Source organism: Homo sapiens, chromosome 10, assembly GCF_000001405.40.
Source record: "Homo sapiens chromosome 10, GRCh38.p14 Primary Assembly".
Taxonomy (NCBI): domain Eukaryota; kingdom Metazoa; phylum Chordata; class Mammalia; order Primates; family Hominidae; genus Homo; species Homo sapiens.
The window spans coordinates 103386371-103410940 of NC_000010.11; the positions used below are offsets into that span (position 1 = coordinate 103386371).

The 24570-nt window shown below is 43.6% G+C and overlaps 3 protein-coding genes and 1 non-coding gene across 12 annotated transcripts in view, besides 5 other annotated features; 2 read left to right on the forward strand and 2 right to left on the reverse strand.

The window, feature by feature from the left end:
• Positions 1 to 2695, forward strand: part of TAF5 (TATA-box binding protein associated factor 5) — a 21090-nt gene extending 18395 nt beyond the window's left edge. For both annotated transcript variants that reach the window (NM_006951.5, NM_139052.3), the window contains 3 exons: positions 805 to 982; positions 1151 to 1328; positions 1636 to 2695. In NM_006951.5, coding sequence (NP_008882.2) covers positions 805 to 982; positions 1151 to 1328; positions 1636 to 1853 — 574 coding nt within the window. In that variant the 3' untranslated portion in view covers positions 1854 to 2695. The remainder of the gene's footprint in view (positions 1 to 804; positions 983 to 1150; positions 1329 to 1635) is intronic.
• ATP5MK (ATP synthase membrane subunit k) lies at positions 2680 to 10105 on the reverse strand. 4 transcript variants are annotated; one of them, XM_024448237.2, is made up of 6 exons: positions 10039 to 10105; positions 9376 to 9662; positions 7829 to 8024; positions 6001 to 6096; positions 5821 to 5913; positions 2680 to 2796 (listed from the first exon to the last, which is right to left on the reverse strand). In XM_024448237.2, the coding sequence occupies exons 4-5, from the start codon at positions 6085 to 6087 to the stop codon at positions 5824 to 5826; spliced, it is 177 nt and encodes a 58-aa protein (XP_024304005.1). In that variant the 5' UTR covers positions 6088 to 6096; positions 7829 to 8024; positions 9376 to 9662; positions 10039 to 10105; the 3' UTR covers positions 2680 to 2796; positions 5821 to 5823. The 4 variants fall into 4 exon arrangements, with proteins under 4 accessions (XP_024304005.1, NP_116136.1, NP_001193356.1 ...); NM_032747.4 differs by lacking the exon at positions 9376 to 9662; NM_001206427.2 differs by lacking the exon at positions 7829 to 8024.
• Positions 7883 to 8031, reverse strand: MIR1307 (microRNA 1307). Its single transcript, NR_031707.1, has one exon. It is a non-coding gene; the product is annotated as a microRNA 1307 (primary transcript).
• Positions 9368 to 10200: an enhancer, noted in NCBI's record as "H3K27ac-H3K4me1 hESC enhancer chr10:105155495-105156327 (GRCh37/hg19 assembly coordinates)". NCBI's record gives its function as "activates a minimal SCP1, AML or CMV promoter by ChIP-STARR-seq in primed H9 embryonic stem cells {active_cell/tissue: H9 hESC(primed)}" and the evidence as "EXISTENCE:reporter gene assay evidence [ECO:0000049][PMID:30033119]".
• Positions 9593 to 9682: an enhancer, noted in NCBI's record as "active region_3958". NCBI's record gives its function as "activates an Ori minimal core promoter by ATAC-STARR-seq in GM12878 lymphoblastoid cells {active_cell/tissue: GM12878}" and the evidence as "EXISTENCE:reporter gene assay evidence [ECO:0000049][PMID:35858748]".
• Positions 9833 to 10082: an enhancer, noted in NCBI's record as "active region_3959". NCBI's record gives its function as "activates an Ori minimal core promoter by ATAC-STARR-seq in GM12878 lymphoblastoid cells {active_cell/tissue: GM12878}" and the evidence as "EXISTENCE:reporter gene assay evidence [ECO:0000049][PMID:35858748]".
• Positions 10256 to 24570, forward strand: part of PDCD11 (programmed cell death 11) — a 49669-nt gene continuing 35354 nt past the window's right edge. For 2 of the 5 annotated variants that reach the window (NM_001437421.1, NM_014976.2), the window contains exons 1-8: positions 10256 to 10360; positions 12046 to 12158; positions 14027 to 14158; positions 16748 to 16915; positions 18652 to 18813; positions 19615 to 19738; positions 20239 to 20420; positions 23329 to 23436. In NM_001437421.1, the coding sequence (NP_001424350.1) occupies positions 12057 to 12158; positions 14027 to 14158; positions 16748 to 16915; positions 18652 to 18813; positions 19615 to 19738; positions 20239 to 20420; positions 23329 to 23436 (978 nt within the window). In that variant the 5' untranslated portion in view covers positions 10256 to 10360; positions 12046 to 12056. Of the gene's footprint in view, positions 10361 to 12045; positions 12159 to 13417; positions 13461 to 14026; positions 14159 to 16747; positions 16916 to 18651; positions 18814 to 19614; positions 19739 to 20238; positions 20421 to 23328; positions 23437 to 24570 lie in introns of those variants that run through there. The other 3 variants (NM_001411058.1, NM_001437420.1, XM_011539540.2) reach the window with 2 other exon arrangements.
• Positions 10740 to 11241: an enhancer, noted in NCBI's record as "H3K27ac-H3K4me1 hESC enhancer chr10:105156867-105157368 (GRCh37/hg19 assembly coordinates)". NCBI's record gives its function as "activates a minimal SCP1, AML or CMV promoter by ChIP-STARR-seq in primed H9 embryonic stem cells {active_cell/tissue: H9 hESC(primed)}" and the evidence as "EXISTENCE:reporter gene assay evidence [ECO:0000049][PMID:30033119]".
• Positions 11242 to 11742: an enhancer, noted in NCBI's record as "H3K27ac-H3K4me1 hESC enhancer chr10:105157369-105157869 (GRCh37/hg19 assembly coordinates)". NCBI's record gives its function as "activates a minimal SCP1, AML or CMV promoter by ChIP-STARR-seq in primed H9 embryonic stem cells {active_cell/tissue: H9 hESC(primed)}" and the evidence as "EXISTENCE:reporter gene assay evidence [ECO:0000049][PMID:30033119]".

The following is a 24570-nucleotide window of genomic DNA, read 5'->3' on the forward strand; positions in this document are numbered from 1 at the left end:
CAGAGGTTGCAGTGAGCCGAGATTGCACCACGGCATTCTAGCCTGGATGACAGAGTGAGACTGTCTCAAAACAAAACAACTATTTGGTGGCCAGAACTAGGGGAAAATACTTTTCTGTGGTTTAGACTAGGAATAGAGGAGGAAGAATATACAGAGAATTGGAGTTCTAGAACTTAAGTTTTGGCTGGCTACAGTGGTACACGCCTATAGTCCCAGCTACTGGGGAGGCTGAGGTGGGAGGATTGCTGGAACCGAGTTTGAATCCAGCTTGGGCAACAGAGCAAGACCTCAGCATTTTTTTTTTTTTTTTTGAGACAGAGTCTCGCTCTGTTACCCAGGCTGGAGTGCAGTGTCGCCATCTCGGCTCACTGCAACCTCTACCTCCTGGGTTCAAGCAATTCTCCTGCCTCAGCTTCCTGAGTAGCTGGGATTACAGGCGTGCGCCACCATGCCCAGCTAATTTTTTGTATTTTTAGTAAAGACGGTGTTTCACCATGTTGGTCAGGCTGGTCTCGAACTCCTGACCTCGTGATCTGCATGCCTCGGCCTCCCAAAGTGCTAGAAGTGTAAGCGTGAGCCCCCATGCCTGGCAAGACCTCAGCTTAAAAAAAAAAAAAAATTGTACCAGATGAACTCTTAGGACTGTGAGTCTCATTTTTCTTCCCCTCAGTTAACTAGTAAGTGGGGGGCCCACTCAGAACTAACTTTTTATGTGGATGTTTCTGTATTTATTTTGTATAGATTTTTGGCGTTTCACAGCTATCTACTAATTGTCATCTTTTGCTTTCAATAACTTTATAAAAGGCTCTGGGCTACAGACCACTATCAGCCTTTAAGAATATTTGCCGGCCATCTTGCTGATGTGAATTGTACCAGATTCCATCCAAATTCTAATTATGTTGCTACGGGCTCTGCAGACAGAACTGTGCGGCTCTGGGACGTCCTGAATGGTAACTGTGTAAGGATCTTCACTGGACACAAGGTATTTTACACTCTTACTATTCCAGCATCCAAGGTTGCTTTCAAAATAAAAATATTTTTTAAACAAGTGACACATAAATTTTAAAGATACCATTCTTACTACAAAACTTTAAAATTTTGTCTTATTTTCCTAGACATACTTTGATCTTTTCTATGAACTTTTTTCTAGGGACCAATTCATTCCTTGACATTTTCTCCCAATGGGAGATTCCTGGCTACAGGAGCAACAGATGGCAGAGTGCTTCTTTGGGATATTGGACATGGTTTGATGGTTGGAGAATTAAAAGGCCACACTGATACAGTCTGTTCACTTAGGTTTAGTAGAGATGGTGAAATTTTGGCATCAGGTAAATGACTATTAATGGCTTTACGATAAATGCTATGTTAAGAGGAAACAGTGTTGACGACTGCAATACTAAGTCCTTATGTTTTAGGTTTTACTTCCCTTTAGCTATGATTCCAGAGTGTCATCCTACATCAATCACTTCTCAGGTTAAAGTACTGCTTGATAATGCTCCTTAGGAAGGAATAGAGTTATTGGTCAAGTTTAGATTTTTCACCCAAAATGTACAGTAAATACATAGTGTAGTGGACAAAATGTCCGAATGTAAATATGATGGATGCAACTAATGGTTTCCTTTGACTTCCCCTTAGGTTCAATGGATAATACAGTTCGATTATGGGATGCTATCAAAGCCTTTGAAGATTTAGAGACCGATGACTTTACTACAGCCACTGGGCATATAAATTTACCTGAGAATTCACAGGAGTTATTGTTGGGAACATATATGACCAAATCAACACCAGTTGTACACCTTCATTTTACTCGAAGAAACCTGGTTCTAGCTGCAGGAGCTTATAGTCCACAATAAACCATCGGTATTAAAGACCTTTTGGAAGCTACTGTTTTTAAAAAGGGAGACTAAAAGCAAATACCTCAGTGATTAATATTTAAGCTACAGAGAATGTTTTTGTCTATATGGATCTGGAAGTATGCTGCTTGGAAAAATCTGAACAGGACAGTTCCACGTTTCTATAGCAACCACATTTGACTAATTTCCGTTAGTTGAATAAGAGGTATTATGATCATGGAGGGGACATTTATGGTGCTTTGGATTGTGTGGAAACTATGCATTTTCTGTTCAAATGCTATTTTAATTTATTACATTTAGAAAAAAAGTTGATTTCAATAATTCATCCTGCTTCAAGATTCAAATTCAGAAATATACTATCATCTTGAATTTTAGCTGAAGAATCCTATGAGCATGTATGTTTCTGCTGTAAAAACGTAGTTACTGTATGGCACTCAAAAACTATGTTAAATGATCCACTAACTTTTTTTTTCTTGGCCCATGATTAATGGAATGTATGTAACTAGGTAGGGTTCCTTTCTTAGATCTAGAGGAAGTACAGCCACCCACTGACATCTGAATTTATATACCTGTTGAGTTTTGAGTGCACCCAAACACTCGATAAACCAGGTGAAGAAATTTAGCTTCCATGTTCTACTTCAGCTAAAACAGCTACATACAACCTAGTACACTTGAAGTCAGACAGACATTTCAGTTGCTTACCTCCAGTACTGAGCCTTGCTTTGGGAAACTAAAAGATTTAGACCAAGTCACTGCCAGTTTTTGCCTTTGTTGCATTTTGTACAGTTTTTATATTTTTGATATCTTGTAAATAAAGACAACCAGCTTTTCCAGGTTCATAATTTATTGTACAAATTGAATTATCACATGATGAGTTGGCATTAGCTTCTCCAGGCATGGGAACTTAACAGATGAGGTTAAGAACCGTAGACAGTTTAAAATCCTATAAACAAAGCAAACAGTTTAGATACAAATGTGGCCAGCTTTACTCTTAAGACACTCAAGAATTACTAAGGTAACATGAACCCACTGAAACTGAATGCGAATTTATTAGATTGTCAAAGATGTAACACCAAAAAAATTAAAGTGTATCTCAGATTAATACTTTTTTTTTTTTGAGACAGAGTTCGCTCTTGTTGCCCAGGCTGGAGTGCAATGGCACAATCTCGGCTCACTGCAACCTCCGCGTCCCAGGTTCAAGTGATTCCCCTGCCTCAGCCTCCCAAGTAGCTGGGATTACAGGCATGTGCCACCACACCCGGCTAATTTTGTATTTTTTAGTAGAGACAGGGTTTCACCATGTTGGTCAGGCTGGTCTCGAACTCCTGACCTCAAGTGATCCACCCGCCTCAGCCTCCCAAAGTACTGGGATTACAGGTGTAAGCCACTGTGCCTGGCCTCAGATTAATACATTTTAACCTAACATTCCACCTTTAACAAATAAGCTACCAACAATTTAGTATGATCCTAAAGGTATACTATTGGAAAAGTCTAGCATATAAAGTAACATCTTTTTTTTTTGTTCGGAGACACAGTCTCGCTCTATCCCCCAGGATGGAGTGTAGCAGCGCAATCTCGGCTCACTGCAACCTCTGCCTCCTGGGTTCAAGTGATTCTCACGCCTCAGCCTCTCGAGTAGCTGGGATTACAGGTGCCTGCCACCACGCCCGGCTAATTTTTATATTTTTAGTAGAGATGGGGTTTCACCATGTTGGCCAGGCTGGTCTCGAACTCCTGATCTCAGATGGTCCACCCACCTCAGCCTCCCAAAGTGCTGGGATTACAGGCGTGAGCCACCACGCCCAGCCTCTCCATTTTTGTAATGGGGATACTACCACCCTTCTGAAGTTAGGAGGTAATTAATATAAAAAATTGGGCAAAATACTACCTGTTCGTCAGGAATAAGCCAGTGATCACTGCATTCTCGGATATGCACTCCCTAAGGTCAACTGTTTTGAGATTGGAAAAGCTCTTAAGCATAGAAGAGGCCAGGCACAGTGGCTCATGCCTGTAATCCCAGCACTTTGGGAGACTGAGGCAGGTGGATCACTTGAGCCCAGGAGTTTGAGAGCAGCCTGGGCAACATCACAAAACCCTGTCTACCAAAAGAAAATACAAAAATTAACTGGGTGTGGTGGCATGCACCTGAAATCCCAGCTATTCAGGAGGCTGAGGCGGGAGGGTCACTTGAGCCCGGGAAGCAGAGGTTGCAGTGATCTGAGATCGCACCACTTCACTCCAGCCTGGGCAACAGAGCTAGAGTCTCAAAAAGAAAAATATCCGGGCTGGGTGTGGTGGCTCACACCTGTAATCCCAACACTTTGGGAAGCCAAGGCGGGCATATCACCTGAGGTCAGGAGTTTGAGACCAGCCTGACCAACACGGTGAAACCCCGTCTCTACTAAAAATACAAAAAAATTAGCCATGCGTGGTGGTGTGCACATGTAATCCCAGCTACTCAGGAGCCTGAGGCAGGAGAATTGTTTGAACCGGGAGGCAGAGGTTGCAGTGAGCCAAGATCATGCCATTGCACTCCAGCCTGGGCAACAAGAGTCAAACTCCATCTCAAAAAAAAAAAAGTCTGCGAAGGAGAGCTACATCAGATGAAGATCTGGCATTTGGGCTTTCCACATATCACCCATTGCCAACACAACAGATATTTAAAGGGTGGGCAAATGGGGGTTGGAGGATTATAAGAAAATAAAACCTATGGGGATTTAAGGAAAAGACAGAATTACATAAACATTGGAAACAAACTAGAAAAAGAAATATTTGCAACTGATATAAAAGGTTGGTTAATGATTACATAGAGCTTCCAAGTCACCCAATTGATAAATAAAAACATGTATAGAATGAATTGTATTTTCAAGAAAAATGCAAACAGTAAACACAGAAAAACATGCCCTTCAAAAAGCAAAAAACACAATTTTTTTTACTCATCAAATTAGCAAAAACCAGAAACTTACATTTCACATTGGCTGGGCAAAAGACACACCCATTTACAAAGCTGGGTACCTCATAATTGGGAAAGCACTTTTGCCTAAGATGACAATCCTAGATATAGACAAGGCTTCATGCTCAAAAGCATTCATTGTAGTATTACTAATTCTAATGGGAACGAGAGTTCCTCTCTGAAATAGTTCATATATTTATAAACAGACATGCATTCAAATTAAAGATATATTTGGTATAAGACAAAATTACAGACGTGATCATAGTCACTGGAAACCAAACAAAATACATGTAACAAAAACTGTTAGGGTCTTGGGACATGGGCAATATTTTTCTTGCTTTTTTTTTTGAGACAAAGTCTTGCTCTTGTCCCCCAGGCTGGAGTGCAATGGCGTGATCTCAGCTCACTGCAACCTCTGCCTCTTGGGCTCAAGCTATTCTCCTGCCTCAGCCTCCCGAGTAGCTGGGATTATAGGCGCCTGCCACCACACCTGGCTAACTTTTGTATTTTTAGTAGAGATGGGGTTTCACCATGTTGGCCAGGCTAGTCTCAAACTCCTGACCTCAGGTGATCCGCCTGCCTCGGCCTCCCATTGTGCTGGGATTACAGGCACAAGCCACTGCACCCAGCCTCTTTTTCTTTTTTTTGAGACACGATTTTGCTCTTTCGCCCAAGCTGGAATGCAGTGGCGTGATCTCGGCTCACTGCAACCTTCGCCTCCTGGACTTAAGCAGTTCTCCCACCCTGGCTAATTTTTGTTTTTTGGTAGAGATGGGGTTTCATCATGTTGCCCAGGCTGGTCTTGAACTCCTGGGCTCAAGTCATCTGCCCGCCTTGGCCTGCCAAAGTGCTGGGATTACAGGTATGAGCCACTATACTAGGCCTCTGTATTTTTTTTTCTTGTATGCTATAAATTTTGCAAAATGACAATGGTTTATTTTTATACTAAATGTTAGGGAAAAATCCTAACATCAAAATGGCTAAATTATAAAGGTTTAAATGTCAACTTCTTACCATTTATGTTGCTTTCACAGCTGGAGTTTTTTTGGACCTTAACTTGAAATATAAGACAATCAATGCAATGCTTCCATATGTGGCCAGTACACACTGAGAAAGAAAGAAAAAAGTAAACAAGACTTGTTGTTCCATCTATATTATTTTAAAATATAACTGCTTAAAGTTATCAATACTTACGTTCATTCTACCTGTGAGAGTATAAGAGTTGAAATATTTTTTAATACCAGTGAACTGGTATTGCGCATCACTTTCTGGACCTGCCATGATTTCAATCTTTTAAAAAAAGAAAGAAAGCAACATTAAATTGGTTTGGATGTAATTTAAAAGTAAATAAATTTTGTCTTGTTTTAGTCTAAAAACTCAAGGTCACTGCATATAAATACTGTAAATTTTTATCTATATCTCACCCAACACAGTAGTAGCAAAGATGGTGGAAAAAGCCTTCCTGAAAGAAAAGCTTTTGGAAGTAGGATTTTACCTTGATCGCTATTTCATGAACACCTCAGAATACATCAAATCACACAATAGCCCCTGCTAAGTTCATTCTCTGACCCAATACAGCTTAATATTTTCATTCCTGGCTCCATCACACCACAGTCCATTGAATTAATCCATTTTAAGGCTACTCAAAAATTGGAGCTGGTATTTTTCAAACATTCAACGGGTGACCATCAACTAAACAGCTCAATTACAACCCCTACTTATACAATTTTTCTTGTTATAAGTAATTTAGGACCTCCATGGGAGAAGGGAGAAGGGATAATTTATTAAATGGAGTTAATAATAGCTACTGGTGGTAGTAAGGAAGCTGGAATCCTTGCACCACCACCAAAATAGATAAAAGATTTAAATGTAAATAGTGAAACCAAAAAGTCCTGGAAGAAAACATGGGGAAATATTTAAGTCATCTCAGGGAAGGGAAAATATTAAGAAAAAAAGCCAAAAACCAAAAAAAACATAAAACCTATTAGTCAAAGAAATGTAAAATGAGATCAATATTTAATCATCAAACAAGCAAAAATAAAATTATGGTAAGTAGTAGTATTAAGTATGTGAGAAAACTAAGAATTCTCTCTCTGTTGCTTGGAGTATAAACTGGTAAAACCAGCCTGGCACGGTGGCTCATGCCTGTAATCCCAGCACTTTGGGAGGCCAAGGCGGGTGGATGCGAGGTCAGGAGATCGAGACCATCCTGGCTAACACGGTGAAACCCTGTCTCTACTAAAAATACAAAAAATTAGCCGGGCGTGGTGGTGGGCGCCTGTAGTCCCAGCTACTCGGGAGGCTGAGGCAGGAGAATGGCATGAACCTGGGAGGCGGAGCTTGCAGTGAGCCTAGATTGCGCCACTGCACTCCAGCCTGGGCGACAGAGCGAGACGCCGTCTCAAAAAAAAAAAAAATAAATAAATAAAAAATAAATAAACTGGTACAACCTTCAGAAAGTGCAAGTTGGCAGTATCTTATCGAATTATAAAATGAGTATACCCTTTCATCTAGCTGGTGTTTTTCTCCAGGAATTTACCCTTATTGAAATATTACAAAGTGGAAACACATTGTGTGGTTCAAAGATGGTCAATGAAATACTGTTTATGAAAATCTTAAAAGTCCATCTATAGAAGACTGATTAAAAAATGATGGTTTCCATTAAACGACACACAACAGGCACAGATCTTTGTGTACTGACATGGGAAGATGTCCCAAGTAACGTTCAATTTTGTAAGAAAAAATCTTATTTCTGGATTTTATAAAGCACGTCAATGGTTCTGGGTCTTGTCCCTAGACCAGCAGCATTAGCATCACTGGAAACTTGTTAGTGCAAATTCTTAGGCCCTACCTATTGAATCAGAAACTCTGGGTCCAGGAATCTATTTTAATAAGGCTTCTAGATAATTCTAAAGCATGCTAAAGTTTGAAAAATACTGCAGTAAATGAAATAGAAAAATAGTAAGTGTATTAAAAAAAACTCTGGAAGAATATATAGCAAAGGCAGCTTAATCTATAGTACCTGTGTATTTTACAAAGGCATGAATTTCTTTTATAGACAAGACGTATTCAAAAGGTCACCAGAACAAGAGCTGAAAATTCGTATGCATGACCGCCTATCTACCACGACCGACGCCACGCCGAGTCGATTGGCAACACAGACGAGCCGGTCGAGGTCCGGTCGAGATTGGTAGGCAGTGACAGTGACTCAGCTGGGTCTTGATGAAATGGAAGAGGGAGATATCTGTCAGGGAGTCATTACTATGGAAACTGGAACTCCCCCATTCAAAGGCTTTCAGAGGCATTCTTGTGTAAAGAATTGGCAATGAAAATTTGAGAAAAATGACCTTAATTTTCAAGTTTCAAGAAGGTTCTTGGAGCAATGAAGGAAATCCAAACTTCCTTAGGCCTCTTCAGAGACCTTGGCCAGTCTAGCCCAAGTAGGAAAATCTCCATTAAAAATAACTTTATACACTTGATCTTAGCCAACAGAAGCGATAAAAGCAACTTTATAATGTAGCTATCAACTGTTCCACTTTACTAAACTTACTAAAGACATACTTCCCCCCGCCCCCCGCCCCCCCACCAGCTCCATTCATTTCATGATACATTTTTGGATTCACTTCTTAGGGTTTGAAGTAGGTTTTTAGGAGAAACGCTACAGAAAATAAGGGCTTCACTTTGACCATTAACGAAAACCTCCACTACATTACATCTAACTAAACTTTTTAGGAGGATATGCCCAACAATACTACAGCGCTTTAAATTTCCCTTTAATTTACACACAATATGGGAGGAAGGCTGATGTTTTGTGATATCCCACAGAAGACTAATTCTGATTGCAGGGAAGTGCATGGTTCAAGAACTGAAATCAATCACTCAAGTTAGTCTGGGTCTTAAAGGAGGAGGACTCTTGAGAGGCTCAAATGGAGGGCCAAATGGGGAACGGGATTGTTGCTGGTGAGATAATGGAGTAAGGTCGAAAAATTTGGTTCTGCACTCTTCAGCACGGTGCAGGTTACTTTAGGGCAAAGATAAAGGAACCCTTGTGTTTACAGTGCCCTTTGTAAGACTCCTAGTTGTGATTTAATGTTGTTAAACGGTGGTATGTTTTAATTAAGTTGCTAACTGCCCTTCTTGAGACAAGGTCTCGCTCTGTCGTCCAGGCTGGAGTGCAGTGGCGCGATCTCAGCTCACTGCAATCTCCGCTTCCCGGGGTCAAGCGGTTCTCCTGCCTCAGCCTCCCGAGTAGCTGGAACTACAGGCGCGCGCCACCACGCCCGGCTAATTTTTGTATTGTTGGTAGGGACGGGGTTTCACCATACTACTCAGGCTGGTCTCGAACTCTGGACCTCAGGTGATCTACCCGCCTCGGCCTCCCAAAGTGCTGGGATTACAGGCGTGAGCCACCGCGCCCGGCCACTAACTGCTCTTAAATGTAACTAATCCTTCCGTGCCTCTCTCCACCTGTGAGATGGGCACTTTATTAAAGGTCCAAAGTGACCAGTAGCTCTTGTTACTTTCTCTGTTCCTCGATATTGCTATTTTCCTTTCTAACTTAACACCTACCTGGAATGGTGAGATCACGAGGTAAGGAAGGCAAAGATGAGTGAGAACCACTCAGGTAACAGAAGCAGCCTCTTGCATTCACGGAGTTTACAGCTCTCTGTTCTGGTTACCTCCTAGGAAAGGCCTTCCCACTGATCGTCTATAGACTGAAATCTAACCCTTTTACAGCGGGCCTGGCGAACTGTAGGGGCCGGGCCACATTCACTCGCTTTGAAAAAGGCTGCAGCGCACCTAAAGGAGGCCCGGCTGGCCAGCTTCCTAAAGCACAGCTCGGTGGGAACAAACAGCTATGGACATACAGAAGAAAAGAGGTTAATTCGGCCGGTGATGGGGATCAGAAGCCCTAGTCCTCGTCCAATATTACGTCACTGGGTGACCTCGAGGGACGCTTCGCGGAGGGCCTCATTTTTCTCCACTGGCGAATGCAATCTAAGGGTCTTCGGAAACTGTGGGAGCCCTTGGGCGCACCTATCCGCCTCACCTCGAGGCTTCTCACCCGCTGGCCGCCCCCTTGCGCCCCTCGTTTTTTCTAGCTCCTTTCCCATTCCCCACCGTTTCTCTCCTCCAAAGCTAAGAACTCGAGTTGCTCCTCGGCCAGAAACGGCGGGCGGTCCTGCAACGTGCAGGCGCCAGGTCCAAGCCCGGACTCCCCTCTTCACCCACCTGCCAAAGCCGCAAATTCCGCAGCTGGTGTCCTTCAACGAATGTAACCACCTCTCGGCCCGGCCGGAAGAAGCCACCTCCCCCGCACGCGTTTAGCCGGCCCCCGCGATTCGGCCTAATGCGACGATTGGCTATGGCTCCAAATCCCGCCCTTCCGATTCCTGTCTCTAGGTCACCTCCGCAACACAGCAACGGAAGTAGGGTGTTGAGCCCGCCCACACTTCCGGAAGAATTGCACTGGACTGTGGGTATCCTGGTCTCCGCGTGTGTGAGTACCGCGGCGCGAGGTTAGTGGTAGCTGGGTGCAGACGCCGTGGCGCTGGTGAGTAAAGGCAGAGGCGAAAAAGGAGGAAACCTCATGGCTGTCAGGTCTGTCCCAGGCCTGGTTCCCTGCCAGGCACACGCTAGATGAGTGTGGTTCGGCCACCTTAGCCCCGCTTCGAAGCCGGCTCTGTTGTAGCAGCCCCTGTAACCCCAGGCTTTGTGTTCGGAAAGTAGCCTAAGTATCTTCTGTGCCCCTGGATCGCCTTACTTTTCAGAGCCTCAGTTTCCCCTTGCTTGAAAGGAAATTAAGGGTGAAATTATCAGCAAACTAGACCCCCCAAACTTTCCTGTTTCTATGAATCATATACCCATCCCTGATTCCATATCCTTGGCCCCACCCGGTCATCACTTCTTTAGTCTAAAGCCCTTGTAGAGTCTTATTACCAAGTGTCTGTCAGAACTAACCTCTCCTGTCTTCTGTTTTCACTTATACCCAGTTCTGGTTCTCATGGTTTCTCTGCTGTACTGCATTTGAATCCTTTTTTTTTTTTTTTTTTTCTGTCACTGAGATAACAGGAAACAGTGCATTTGAATCCTTCTACCGAATTTACTTGCCTTCAATACTGTCTCTCTTCATGTCCAATCTATAGCCTGCAGTATATTTTTCTTGCTTACTGTTCTCTCGCTTTCCCTGCTTAAGTCTCTGACTTGCCAAAGCAAACTACCCATATCTAATTCAAGGTCTTCCACAAAAAAGCCCAACTTCTCCTTTAATTTTTTTGAGACAGAGTCTCACTTTGTCTCCCAGGTTGGAGTGCGGCGGCATGATCTCAGCTCACTGCAACCTCCGCCTCCCGGCCTCAAGCAATTCTCACGCTTCAGCCTGCCTAGTAGCTGGGACTAGGCGCAGGCCACCACGCCCGGCTAATTTTTGCGTTTTTGGTAGAGACGGGGTTTCGCCATGTTGACTATGCTGGTCTCGAACTCCTGACCTCAGATGATCCACGCGCCTCGGGCTCCCGAAGTGCTGGCATTACAGGTGTGAGCCATGGTGCCCGGCCTTCTTTAAAATTTAACTTCAATTTTTATGCTTTAATCTCCCAGTGGTCTAGTTGAATAATTCCTCAGAGACAACAGCAAGCCTTTGAGCAGTTGTTTGATAGGGAAATTGCTGGTGTTTATTGAAATAATAGGCTTTTCCCATCCATGTCTTTTCTCACATTCCCTTTCTACCTGTCAAGCTTCTGTTCATCTTTTACCCTTAAGCTAAAAAAGATCTTCTTTATGAAGCTTGCCTCCTTTACTTATCCCTTCCTACATTGCCTTATCCCTTCCTACATCTTTGTGATCATTTATAATCTGATTTGCATTTTAAGTTACTTGCATAATTGTTTTATCTTCCAAAAAGTGTGCATGTTCTTTGAAGGCAGAGGATTATATATTCATCTGTAGAGCTACAGTGTATCTCTGACTTAACTGTAGCTTCTTAGTGAGTATGTGCTACATTGAATCTATAACTTCTTTTTCTGGAAGAAGGTGGGTGGACTTGTGGTTTTGAAGCAGAGACCTTTGGAAAGATGAAGTATGGATTATTCCGGGCCTGACATCTAAACCATCTATGTTGTAGTCCTGAATGTTGTCTAGCATATTGCTGGAACGTTCTGTCTCTTGCCCGTTGATAACACCTTTCTGAAATCTGCTACCAAGACAACATGTCACCATTATCCTTTGCATTGTTTTTAGGAGACCCAAACATGGCAAACCTGGAAGAAAGCTTCCCCCGAGGAGGTACAAGAAAGATCCACAAACCAGAGAAAGCTTTCCAGCAGTCAGTTGAACAAGACAACTTATTTGATGTAAGTAGTATGCTTGTTTGGTGACACTCACTGGAAACTTTTACTGTAGTGTCTTGTGAAAAATGAGCCTTATTTGAGAATGTGTTATTTTTCCAGATTTTTTTTGCATTGAAGTCTACTTCTATAAATTTAACTCATTTAGAGAGGCCATACCACCACAAGGCTGTATCTTTTGAAGCTTGGCATTTAGTATTAAAGTACTGTTATTAGCTGGGCGTAGTGGCTCATGCCTGTAATCCCAGCAGTTTGGGAAGCCGAGGCAGGCGGATCACTTGAGGCTAGGAATTCAAGAGCAGCCTGGCCAACATGGTGAAACCCCGTCTATACTAATACCAAAACTAGCTGGGCATGGTAGTATACCTGTAGTCCTAGCTACTTGGGAGGCTGAGGCATGAGAATTGCTTGAACCAAGAAGGTGGAGGTTGCACTGACCCAATATTGTGCCACTGCTCTCCTGCCTGGGCGACAGAGTGAGACTCTGTCTCAAAAAACACACAAACAAAATAAATAAAGTGCTGTTCCTTGTTCTTAGACACTCTTTGCCATGTGCCATGTTGATTAAGGATGGAGAGGAAGCAGTTTTTTTTTTTTTTTTTTTTTTGAGACGAAGTCTTACTCTGTTGCCCATGCTGAAGTGCAGTGGCGTGAGTAGCTGGGATTACAGGTGCCTGCTACCATACCTGACTAATTTTTGTATTTTTGTTAGAGATGGGGTTTCACCATGTTGGCCAGGCTGGTCTGAAACTCCTGACCTCAGATGATCTGCTCACCTTGACCTCCCAAAGTGCTGGGATGGCAGGTGTGAGCCACTGCACCCAGCTGATGTTTTTGTTATTTTTGTTGTTGTTTTTTCAAGAGATGGGGAGAGATGATGTTTCACTCTGTTACTCAGGCTGGACTTAAACTCCTGGGCTCAGTCGATCCTCCCTCCTTAGCCTCCTGAGTAACTGGAACAACAGGCATGTTCCACTGTGTCTGACTGATCATTGCATTTTTACAGGGGTTCCTTGCCACATGTAATGGTCAGAATTTGCATTAGACTTCACAGTCTCACCTAGACTAGGCTGTGCTCCAAATGCTTGGGGAAAGGGAACTAACATTTGAGTGTGTGGCTTTAGGTCTGTATTATGTAATCTTTTCAACTGTACTGTGAAGCACTGATTGCAATTCCATGATGAGGAACAGTGTCTTGCTCTGTCGCCCAGGCTGAAGTGCAGTGTTGTGATCTCAGCTCACTGCAACCTCCACTTCTTGGTTCAAGCAATTCTCCTGTATCAGCCTCCCGAGTACCTGGGACTATAGGTGCGTGCTGCCATGCTCGGCTTAATTTTTTTGTATTTTTAGTGGAAAAAAAAATACAGCCTGTTGGCCAGGCTGGTCTTGAACTCCTAATCTCAAGTGATCTTCCCGCCTTGGCCTCCCAAAGTGTTGGGATTACTGGTGTGAGCCACTGTGCCTGGATTTTATATAATTTAGCTGAAACCACATAGCTTGTTATGGTGGAAAAGATGAGAATTTAACTTGGGTCTGTGTAACTCTGGTGTCCATTTTCATGCACTATTCTACATTGCTTCTCAAACTGGGGAACCCAGTGTTCATCCCAGTCAAGAGAGGGAGAACACAAGAGAGAAGAGACTTTGGGAACATGAAGGAGGCTTCTCAGACCTTGGGCAGAGGGAACATTGGCGGCCCCCCCCCTTTTTTTTTTTTTTTTAAGCAAGAATTAAAGGAACAATTGGGAGTGGGATGGGGTAGGGTGGAGTGAAGGAGTAACAAAGCAAGGTGAGTGATGACCTGAAATAGGAGGGAAAACTCAGATTGCTTCTTATTCTTTTGGGTCTTTGTGGGCTCCCCCTACCCGCTTCTAGATTTCTACTGAAGAGGGATCCACCAAAAGAAAAAAGAGCCAGAAGGGGCCAGCAAAAACAAAAAAGTTGAAAATCGAAAAGAGAGAAAGCAGCAAGTCCGCAAGAGAGAAGTTTGAAATCCTTAGTGTTGAGGTTTGTTAAAGTTGGTTTTCATTTAAACAATCGACCTTGGTTGCTTAAGTTTGTGTATGTTCTTTTTTTCTTCTTTCCTTCTTTTTTCCCTTAATTCCATTTTCCCCTTAATATATTATATTTCATGCGTGTGTGTGTAGAGATGCTTGGAATTTATGCTAAGGAGTAAGCATGATTTCCTTCCATTGCTAACCGATGCCAGGAATCTTTTCTTTTTCTTTGTATTTATTTATTATTTTCCAGAGACAGGCCTGACTCTGTTGCTCAGGCTGGAATGCAGGCATGATCATAGCTCACTTTAGTCTTGAACTCCTGGGCTCAAGCAATCTTCCTGCCTCAGCTTCTCCTGAGAAATTGGGACTACTAAAGGTGTGTGTCACCATGCCCAGCTAATTTTTAAATCTTTTGTAGGGCTTGGATCTTGCTATTTTGCCCAGGTTGGTCTCGAACTCCTGTGCTCAAGCAATCCTCCTGCCTCAACCTCCCGAAGTGTTGGGATTATAGACATGAGCTACCCACCGTGCCTGCCCCCTTTTTTTCCTTTAAAGCTGTCGTGGGCTTGTTTGTGTCCTCACAGGACTTGAGTTCTGATATATTCAGAGGTTAGAATGGACAGTAACTTTAGCAGTCATTCTCATCTTACCCATTCATTTCATAGATGTGAAACCCATTTCCAAGAATTGAAGTGGTCTGTGTTCCTTACATTTTTATTTTTTATTTTTTAATTTTGAAATTATTTTATTTTATTTATTTATTTATTTTGAGACGGAATCTCTCTCTGTTGCGCAGTCTGGAGTGCAGTGATGTGATCTCAGCTCACTGCAACCTCTGCCTCCCGGGTTCAAGCGATTCTCCTGCCTCAGCCTCCTGAGTAGCTGGGATTACAGGTGTCTCACCACGCCTGGCTAATTTTTGTATTTTTAATAGAGACGGGGTTTCACCATGTTGGTCAGGCTGGTCTGGAACTCCTGACCTCGTGATCTGCCTGCCTTGGCCTCCCAAAGTGCTGGAATCACAGGCGTGAGCCACCGCGGCCAGCCTGCCTTACATTTTTAGATGATAACACCAATATGTGTTAGTTATAAAAAAGAAAAGAAGTTAAATAACTTTGAAGAGGAACATTCATATTTGGCTAGATTCAGAGTCAATATTTTGTCCTATATGATACTTTAAAAAAATTGTTAGACTTGGTGCCAACATTAGAAAACTAAAATTTTTTTTTTTTTTGAGACGGAGTCTCGCACAGTCGCCCAGGCTGGAGTGCCGTGGTGCCATCTCTGCTCTGCTCACTGCAAGCTCCGCCTCCCGGGTTCTCGCCATTCTCCTGCCTCAGCCTCCTGAGTAGCTGGGACTACAGGCGCCCGCCACCACGCCCAGCTAAGTTTTTGTATTTTTGGTAGAGACGGGGCTTTACCATGTTAGCCAGGATGGTCTCAATATCCTGACCTTGTAATCTGCCCGCCTCCGCCTCCCAAAGTGCTGGGATTACAGGCGTGAGCCACTGCACCTGGCTGAAAACTAAAAATTTTTTTACATGAAAATATGATTTCTGGCTTCTTGTAAAAATTTGAAAGTACTGATAGCAGAAGGCCCGTATTCCCTCATGTTTGTAATGACAAGGAGCTGAGTAGTGGTTGTGTCCTTTAGACCTGGCATGGTCACTCCAGACTGCCATTGTCTCCACTAGCTGGCTTCCTTCATTGTGTTGTCTGCCAGGCATTTGAGTTTGGGTTGCTCAGAATAATGTAAAAGGCAAAGGTGTCCTCCAGTATCCCAGTGCTGTTAACACTGTTGTATAATCTAGACCTTTTACAGTGCTCGGTCAGATATTTGAGAAGTTCACTGATATGTACACATGTGTATTTCTTTTCATTTATAAAATTCCTGTAGGTTTTTATTTTTTATTTATTTTTATTTTTTTATTTTCGAGACAGAGTTTCACTCTTGTTGCCCAGGCTGGAGTGCAGTGGCATGATCTCAGTTCATTGCAACCTCCACCTCCCAGGTTCAGGTGATTCTCCTGCCTCAGCCTCCTGAGTAGCTGGAATTACAGGCACCTGCCACCATGCCCGGCTAATTTTTGTATTTTTAGTAGAGACGGGGTTTTGCCGTGTTGGCCAGGCTGCTCTCGAACTCCTGACCTCAGGTGATCCACCCGCCTCAGCCTCCCAAAGTGCTGGGACTACAGGCATGAGCCACTGTACCCGGCCTATTTTTTATCTTTATTTTTTGAGATAGGGTGTCACTTTGTTGCCAAGGCTGGAGTGCAGTGGTGTGATCACAGCTCACTGCAGACTCAACCTCCTGGCTCAAGCGATCCACTCACCTCCGAGTACCTGCGACTACAGGCGTGTACCACTATGCCTGGCTAATCTTTTTTTTTGGAGAAACTACGTTGCCCAGGCTGGTCTGAAACTCCTGAGCCCAGGCAGTCCTCCTGCCTTGGCCACCCAAAGTATTGGAATTATAGGGCGTAAGCCACTGTGCTTGGCCTTATAGCTTTTAAATTGACACTAGAAGCCAGACCTTCCAACCTTCCCTATTGTTGTTCCCATCCTTATTGTACACATTTCACTTTTTCTCTTCTAGTCCCTGTGTGAGGGAATGCGTATTTTGGGTTGCGTGAAAGAGGTGAATGAACTGGAACTGGTGATTAGTCTCCCCAATGGCCTCCAGGGCTTTGTGCAAGTCACTGAAATCTGTGATGCCTACACCAAAAAGCTGAATGAGCAGGTGACACAAGAACAACCTCTGAAGGTAAGGGAAATCCGAATGAAGCCTGTTATTGAAAATAAGTGGAACACAAATAGATTTAAAATTACAACTTTGCCAGGTGCTAAGAAGGGAAAGTACAAGGTCCCGTGAGAGTTTATCATAAAGGAATTTTTGACTAAGTCTGGGAGCCTGGAAGACTGTTGAGGAAGGGATGCTTAAGCTGAGATCTAAAGAATGAGGGTTCCCTAGATAAAGAAGGAAAGGCGTTCAGGCAGAAGCAATGTAATATATAACAGAGAGAAGGCTAGTATGGCTAGGTAAGGAGAGCAAGAGAGAGTGTGATGTGAGATGGGCAGGAGAGCCTGAATGGGGGCCAGGGCACATGCAGCCTTGTAGACCATTTTAAGGGTTGTTTTTAAATTCTAGAATCAATGGGAAGTCCTTGAAATGTTCTCACTGGGGTACAGCATAACGTGTAGATTGAAGAGGCATGAGAAGTTGCTTAGAGACAAGTTAGGAGGCTCTTGTAGTCGTTCACGTCCTGAGATTGATGGTGACCTGGGTTCAGGATTTCCTGAGGACTGAGGAGGCAAAGTCATTGCTTGGTGATAGATTCAATATGGGTGGTGGGGCAGATAGAGGTGTCAGGGCTGAGTTCTAGGTTTCTGTTTTGCATGATTTGATGCTTGGTCATGACATCCTGAGATAGGAAACCCTGAAGGGGACCTGGATTGGGAGAGATGATCATGATTTTTCAGTTTTTGAGACAGAGTCTCACTCTGTTGCCCAGGCTGGAGTGCAGTGGCATGATCTCAGCTCACTGAAACCTCCATCTCCTGGGTTCAAGTGATTCTCCTGCCTCAGCCTCCCCAGTAGCTGGGATTACAGGTGCCAGCCACCACACCCAGCTAATTTTTGTATTTTCGGTAGAGACAGGGCTTCACCATGTTGGCCAGGCTGGTCTCTAACTCCTGACCTCAAATGATCCACCCGCCTCGGCCTCCCAGAGTGTTGGGATTATAGGTGTGAGCCATCATGCCTGACCTATGATTTTTGTTTGTTTGTTTGTTTTTGAGATGGAGTCTCACTCTTTAGCCCAGGCTGGAGTGCAGTGACATGATCTCAGCTCACTGCAACCTCCAGCTCCCAGATTCAAGCAATTCTCCTGCCTCAGCCTCCTGAGTAGCTGGGATTACAGGCAGATGTCACCACACCCAGCTAATTTTTGTATTTTTAGTAGAGACAGGGTTTTACCATGTTGGCCAGGCTGGTCTCAAACTCCTGACGTCAGGTGATCTGCCCGCCTTGGCCTCCCTAAGTGCTGGGATTACAGGCATGAGCCACCACACCCGACCCTCAAGTGCTTTTTAATGGTCATGTAAGAGATAGACTGCAAAACTGACCACTGGATTTAACAATATGGAACTCATTGGTGATTCTATGGGAGATAGAGTGGTGGAGTGAGAGGGGTGGAAAGCAGATTGCAGTGAGCCGAAGAATGAGTAAGGGATGAAGTAGAGGCAGAAAGTGTAGACAACTCTTTTGACAAGTCATTTTACATGCCAGTTATGTGGAAATATTTGAAGGCCTTATGCTGAAATTCAAGACTGTGGCTAGGCCACAGACCCAACTTCCTTTGTGGATGGGGGGTTATTCCTCACCCACCTTTTGGGTTCTCTGGGGTCTGAGGATGAGAAGTCACTGAGCCAAAGCTGGGTAATGGATTTTTGGTTCAGGAGAAGGGTGTATATCAGGTCTTTCTCATTTGTGTTATGCAGGACCTACTTCACTTGCCTGAACTTTTCTCACCTGGAATGCTGGTAAGATGTGTGGTGAGCAGTCTGGGCATCACAGACAGGGGCAAGAAGAGTGTCAAGCTGTCTCTGAACCCCAAAAATGTCAACAGAGTGCTGAGTGCTGAGGCCCTGAAGCCTGGCATGGTAGGTGTCTAGGGTCGGGGAGGAAGAGTGGCAATGTGCCTTCTCTCTGCCTCTGAGGGAGCGTGGTCTAGGCCACCTTTTACTTTCAGCTCAATTGTGACACATAGGAGTGGTTCTTTTTCTGGAAGGAAGGTCTCTTGGGTTCTTTGGGCACTTAATGGACATTGAAGACTTGAACCTAATCATTACATTGGAGAAGAGAAAAGAGAAAGCAAGTCCAAATTTCTTTTTTTTTTTTGAGTCGGAGTTTCGCTGTTGTTGCCCAGGCTAGAAAGCAGTGGCATGATCTCGGCTCACCACAGCCTCCACCTCCTGGGTTTAAGCAATTCTTCTGCCTCAACCTCCTGAGGCAGGGATTACAGGTGCCATGCCCAGCTAATTTTTGTATTTTTAATAGAGACGGGATTTCACCATGTTGGCCAGGCTGGTCTCAAACTCTTGACCTCAAGTGATCTGCCTGCCTCAGCCTTCCAAAATGCTGGGATTACAGGCATGAGCCACTGTGCCCTGCCGAAAGTTTGCTATCTTTTGAAACCACTTGAGGCAAGAGACTCTTCTATATTGTTCCATCATTCAGCTGTGTTAAACATTCCTCATTGCCTGGCAACCATCAGCTCCTTCAAGCCTGGGAGTGTTGAATTTGATGTCTGCTGTCTAGTGGGATTGTGGCTTAAGGTTTAATGTGGGAGTGGGATAGTGGCAGAGTGTGAGCTTAGTGGCAGGAACATTCAAGTTTGGATGTTTTGTGTGTGTCCCATTACCTTTGAATTGGAACTTCTGGGACTACTTTCTCTTCCCCAGCTACTTACAGGTACCGTATCCAGCCTGGAAGACCATGGCTACCTAGTGGACATTGGTGTTGATGGGACCAGAGCTTTTCTGCCACTGCTGAAAGCCCAGGAGTACATCAGACAGAAGAACAAAGGTGAGGGCAAGAAAAGGGGCCAGTACATGGTGGTGAGGTGGTACATGTGGGGATTATATTTAAGTGCCATTTTGATGAGTAACATGACAGAATGGTGACCCTGAAGGTGCTGTGGCTTTGGTAAAACCAGCACTTAATCCTAGTTAATAGGAAAGGAAAGATGTATGAAGGGCCAGCGAGTGGTAAGGTCTCACTAAGATCTGATGGAACAGTGTCAGTTTTTCTAACCTGGAAGATTCCACTGCAATTAGGGCCCCCATGGCTTCTGAACCAGCAGTCTCCTGGCTTGTGTATTTTTGTGTGGTAATTGAATTCCAGATCAATTAGGATAACTTCGTTTCCTTCTTGTAGTTGGCCCCTTAAAGATTGGGAATTTGGGGAGTAACTGATGCTAACTGGGCAGGTAGGCCATGGGTCTTTTCAGGTATTACTTGGGCCCACGTTAAAAGTCCTTCTCATAGATACATTTTTCCTTTTGGGGCCTGGGTCTGGGCTTACAGGTGCTAAACTAAAGGTGGGTCAGTACCTGAACTGCATTGTTGAAAAGGTGAAAGGCAACGGAGGAGTTGTTAGTCTGTCTGTTGGTCACTCAGAGGTTTCTACGGCCATTGCTACTGAACAGCAGAGCTGGAACCTTAATAACTTGCTACCAGGACTGGTGGTCAAAGCTCAGGTACAGAAGGTAAGCTGTTATGCTACTACTACTTTTTAAAATAAAAATAATTCTTTTCAAAATATTAAATGCATAAAGTCTAAAACTACTGTCTGATAAAGGTAGTCACTAGTCACTTACGCCCATTGAGCATTTCAAATGTGGCCAGTGCCACATGTTGAAATGATAATATTTTGGATATATTAGGTTAAAAAACTATACTAAAAAGTCTTTTGTTTCTTTGTAGTTTCTAAAATGTGACTGCTAGAAAACTTAAAATTACTTGTGTGACTGACATTGTATTTCTGTTGGACAGTGCTGATCTGAAAGGTCAAATGGAATTAAAAGGTTTATAATGAAGAACTTATCCGTCATAACCCCCATCTTTAACTCTTTTAGCTTATCTTTTGAAATTTCTCTCCATATTTTTGAGTAATAAGCTTCTGCTGGTATCTCTTGATTTTTCCATCTTAGGCATTGAGTTTTAACTTTTTATCAAGGTAGAAAAGATTTTGGTCTCTCTTTTTTTAATTAAAAAATATATATATTTTCCTAGCACTTTGGAGGCCGAGGCAGGCTGATCACGAGGTCAGGAGATCGAGACCATCTTGGCTAACACGGTGAAACCCCGTCTCTGCTAAAAATACAAAAAATTAGCTGGGTGTGGTGGCGGGTACCTGTAGTCCCAGCTACTCGGGAGGCTGAGGCAGGAGAATGGCGTGAACCCAGGAGGTGGAGCTTGCAGTGAGCCAAGATTGTGCCACTGCATTCCAGCCTGGGCGACTGTGCGAGACTCCGTCTCAAACAAACAAACAAAATATATATATTTTATAGAGGTGAAGTCTTACTCTGTTGCCCAGGCTGGTGTTGAACTCCTGAGCTCTAGTGATCCTCCCACCCTGGCCTCCCAAAGTGCTGGGATTACAGGCATGAGTGACCTCACCCAGCATACTAGCATGACTTTCTTTTTTTTTTTGAGACGGAGGCTCGCCCTGTTGCCCAGGCTGGCATGCAGTGGCGTGATCTCGGGTCACTGCAACCTCTGCCTCCCGGATTCAAGCGATCCCCCTGCCTCAGCCTCCCGAGTAGCTGGGACTACAGGCATACACCACCACACCCGGCTGGTTTTTGTGTTTTTAGTAGAGACAGGGTTTCACCATGTTGGCCAGGCTTGTGTCAAAATCCTGACCTTAAGTGATCTGCCTGCCTGGGCCTTCCAAAATGCCGTGATTACAGGTGTGAGCCACCACACCTGGCCTACTATGACCTTGAACAGCTTTTTTCCCTTGGAGTTGGCAGTCAGCTTTGTTTTTGTCATTTGCGAAATTCTCTTCCTATCAGTATTTTTTCCTATACCTTCAACTTATTTTCCACTTATTACAATTCTGCATGTTTTCAAACCCTTTAAGTAAACTACTAGTTTCTTTTTCCTCCCACCTAGAACCCTTTTTAATGTCCTTGTGCTCTAGGATGGACTAGTTGCTCTGTAGGGCTCCTGCATAGCCGGTATCCTAGGACTTCCCTTCTGCTGTCTCCTCTGTCTGTATTGGAGCCTTCTTTGGTCCCATGTATTCTTCTTTTTGGGTTTACTCCCTCGTTTTAGTGTGGTACATTATCCAGAAGCATCCTGGGAGAGCCTCTCAACTTTAACTTCCAATTCTCTAGGAAGTTTTTGTTTAGATTGCCATATGATGAGTGAGGTACTAAAAAACTGTGAGCAAGTCTATGTGCCTGTGTGGGATTGTTGACTGTTTTTTTAATTTTTAAAATTTTTATAATTATTTATTTATTTATTTTTGAGACAGAGTCTTGCTCTGTCACCTAGGCTGGAGTGCAGTGGCATGATCTCGGCTCATTGCAGCCTCCACCATCCAGGTTCAAGTGATTCTCCTGCGTTAGCCTCCAGAGTAGCTGGGACTACAGGCACCCACCACCACACCTGGCTAATTTTTGTATTTTTGTAGAGACAGGGTTTCACTGTGTTGGCCAGGCTGGTCTCAAACTCCTGAGCTCAGGTGGTCCACCTGCCTCAGCCTCCCAGAGTGCTAGGATTATAGGCATGAGCCACTGCGCCCACCTTCTTGTTGACCGTTTAACTTTCCTGTCAGGAACAGGACTAGCAGATTTAATTTGGGCAACCTCCTAATGTGATTGTTATAGGTCTTCTCTGGCATGTTAGATTTCTCTAGAAAGGATCTGGCAATCTCCACCCACGAGGGTCTAAGCCTGGCTGCCCGAGAATGAGTACGAGAAAGGGGCTGGATATTTACATGATATTTAGAATTTAATTGACATAAGAATATTTACATGATATTTAGAATTTAATTGACATTTTCAGAATTTGCACTTTTCCTGTTTTTTGATTCTGGTAACAGTTTTCCCAGAGAATAGGTTTAGTATTTTCCGGGAAGGTAAGAGAGAGGTCTTAGTTCTCTGATTTCATTCATCTCCCTCACCACTATCTTTTGAGGGGATTGTTACTTTTCGCTTTTTGGTGACTCCATAAGGGTGACTTGGCTTGCTTGTGGTCAGTATCTCCCTTTTGCAAGCCCTTTTTTTTTTAACCTTTTTTTTTTACCTTCCTATACTGGGAAAATATCTAAGTTAGTAACAATCTATTCCAGTTGTCAGGCTGGCAGTTCCCCAAGGATACATATACAAAGCTTCTTCCATTCCATGGAGGACTCCCAGAGAGTGGGAGGATTGATGTCCTCTCTTAGCTGGAAGGGAGGTGAGCCTACTAAGGAAAGAAACAGCCAGTGCAGGAATTGTTCTGCCAGTTATTTGTATAGGAAGAAAAGATTGTTAAGAGTTACCTGGGAGAGGAGAGATACACAGTTAGGGATACTATGGCATTGAGTGTTTACTGTGAGCAATGTCTCACATTCCTGGTTCTTTCAAAGAACTTTTTTTTATAACTTGTTCTGTTTATTTCTAGGTGACTCCATTTGGCCTTACGCTAAACTTCCTCACATTCTTCACGGGCGTGGTTGACTTTATGCACCTGGATCCCAAGAAAGCTGGAACATATTTCTCAAATCAGGCAGTAAGAAATGTTGAGCCTATATTTTCTTGATTCCAGTTGTGGTCCATTTGCTGTCCAGTATCACAGCTAGCTACAGGGAGGTCCTAGGACTGCATGCATACAGGTGTGCAGAGAGGAGATGAGAGGAATAATGAAAAGTGTTATGGAGGCCAGATGCAGTGGCTCATGCTTGTAATCCCAACACTTTAGGAGGTGAGGTGGGCGGATCACTTAAGGTCAGGAGTTCAAGACTAGCCTGGCCAACATGGTGAAACCCCGTCTCTACTAAAAATACAAAAATTAGCCAGGCGTGGTGGCGCATGCCTGTAGTCCCAGCTACTCAGGAAGGTGAGGCAGGAGAATCGCTTGAACCCGGGAGGCCGAGGTTGCAGTGAGCTGAGATCGTGCCACTGCACTCCAGCCTAGACAACAGAGCGAGACTCCATCTCAAAAAAAAAAAAAAAAGTGTTATGGAAGGAAAGTAAGAAACTCTCAGTGGCTGAACTGAAATTAGAGAAGGAGCAGGTGGAGAAGAAGGCAACTTTCAGTTTTTACTTCATAGTCTTCCATATAGTTTGATTTTTTTTTCCTTTGGTGGTAGTAGTATTTTTGTTTTTATAATTTAAAGTAGTTTAGAAGAATATTTAACATAGGAGAATAAGATACGTTTAAACAGCAAAAGGTGATTTTAAAAGTTGTATAGTATAGATCCAACTTTGAAAAAAATTTTAAAAAGTACCTCTGGTTAAAATACTGGAATATTAGGCAATCAGGTGTTAATAGTGATGAATTCTGGGTGATTTTTCTTTTCTTTTCTTTTTTTTTTTTTTCTTTTTTTTTTAAGACAGTGTCTTACTCTGTCACCCAGGCTGGAGTGCAGTGGCGCAAACACGGCTCACTGCAGCTTCAATCTCCTGGACTCAATTGATCTCCCACCTTAGTCCTCAGAGTAGCTAGGACCACAGATGTGTGCCACAATGCCTGGCTAGTTAAAAAAAATTTTTTTTAGGCCAGGTGTGGTGGCTCACGCCTATAATCCCAGCACTTTGGTAGGCCGAGGTGGGAGGATCACAAGGTCAGGAGTTCAAAACCAGCCTGGCCAGCATGGTGAAACCCCGTCTCTACTAAAAATAAAAAAAATTAGCCAGACCTGGT

Bases quoted from the DNA above. Each gene is read 5' to 3' on its own strand.
- ATP5MK (NM_001206426.2), bottom strand. From the start codon at position 6,087: ATGGCAGGTCCAGAAAGTGATGCGCAATACCAGTTCACTGGTATTAAA. The intron at 5,914-6,000 runs GTAAGTATTGAT...TTTCTTTCTCAG, and splicing joins CTCTCACAGGTAGAATGAAC to TGTGTACTGGCCACATATGG.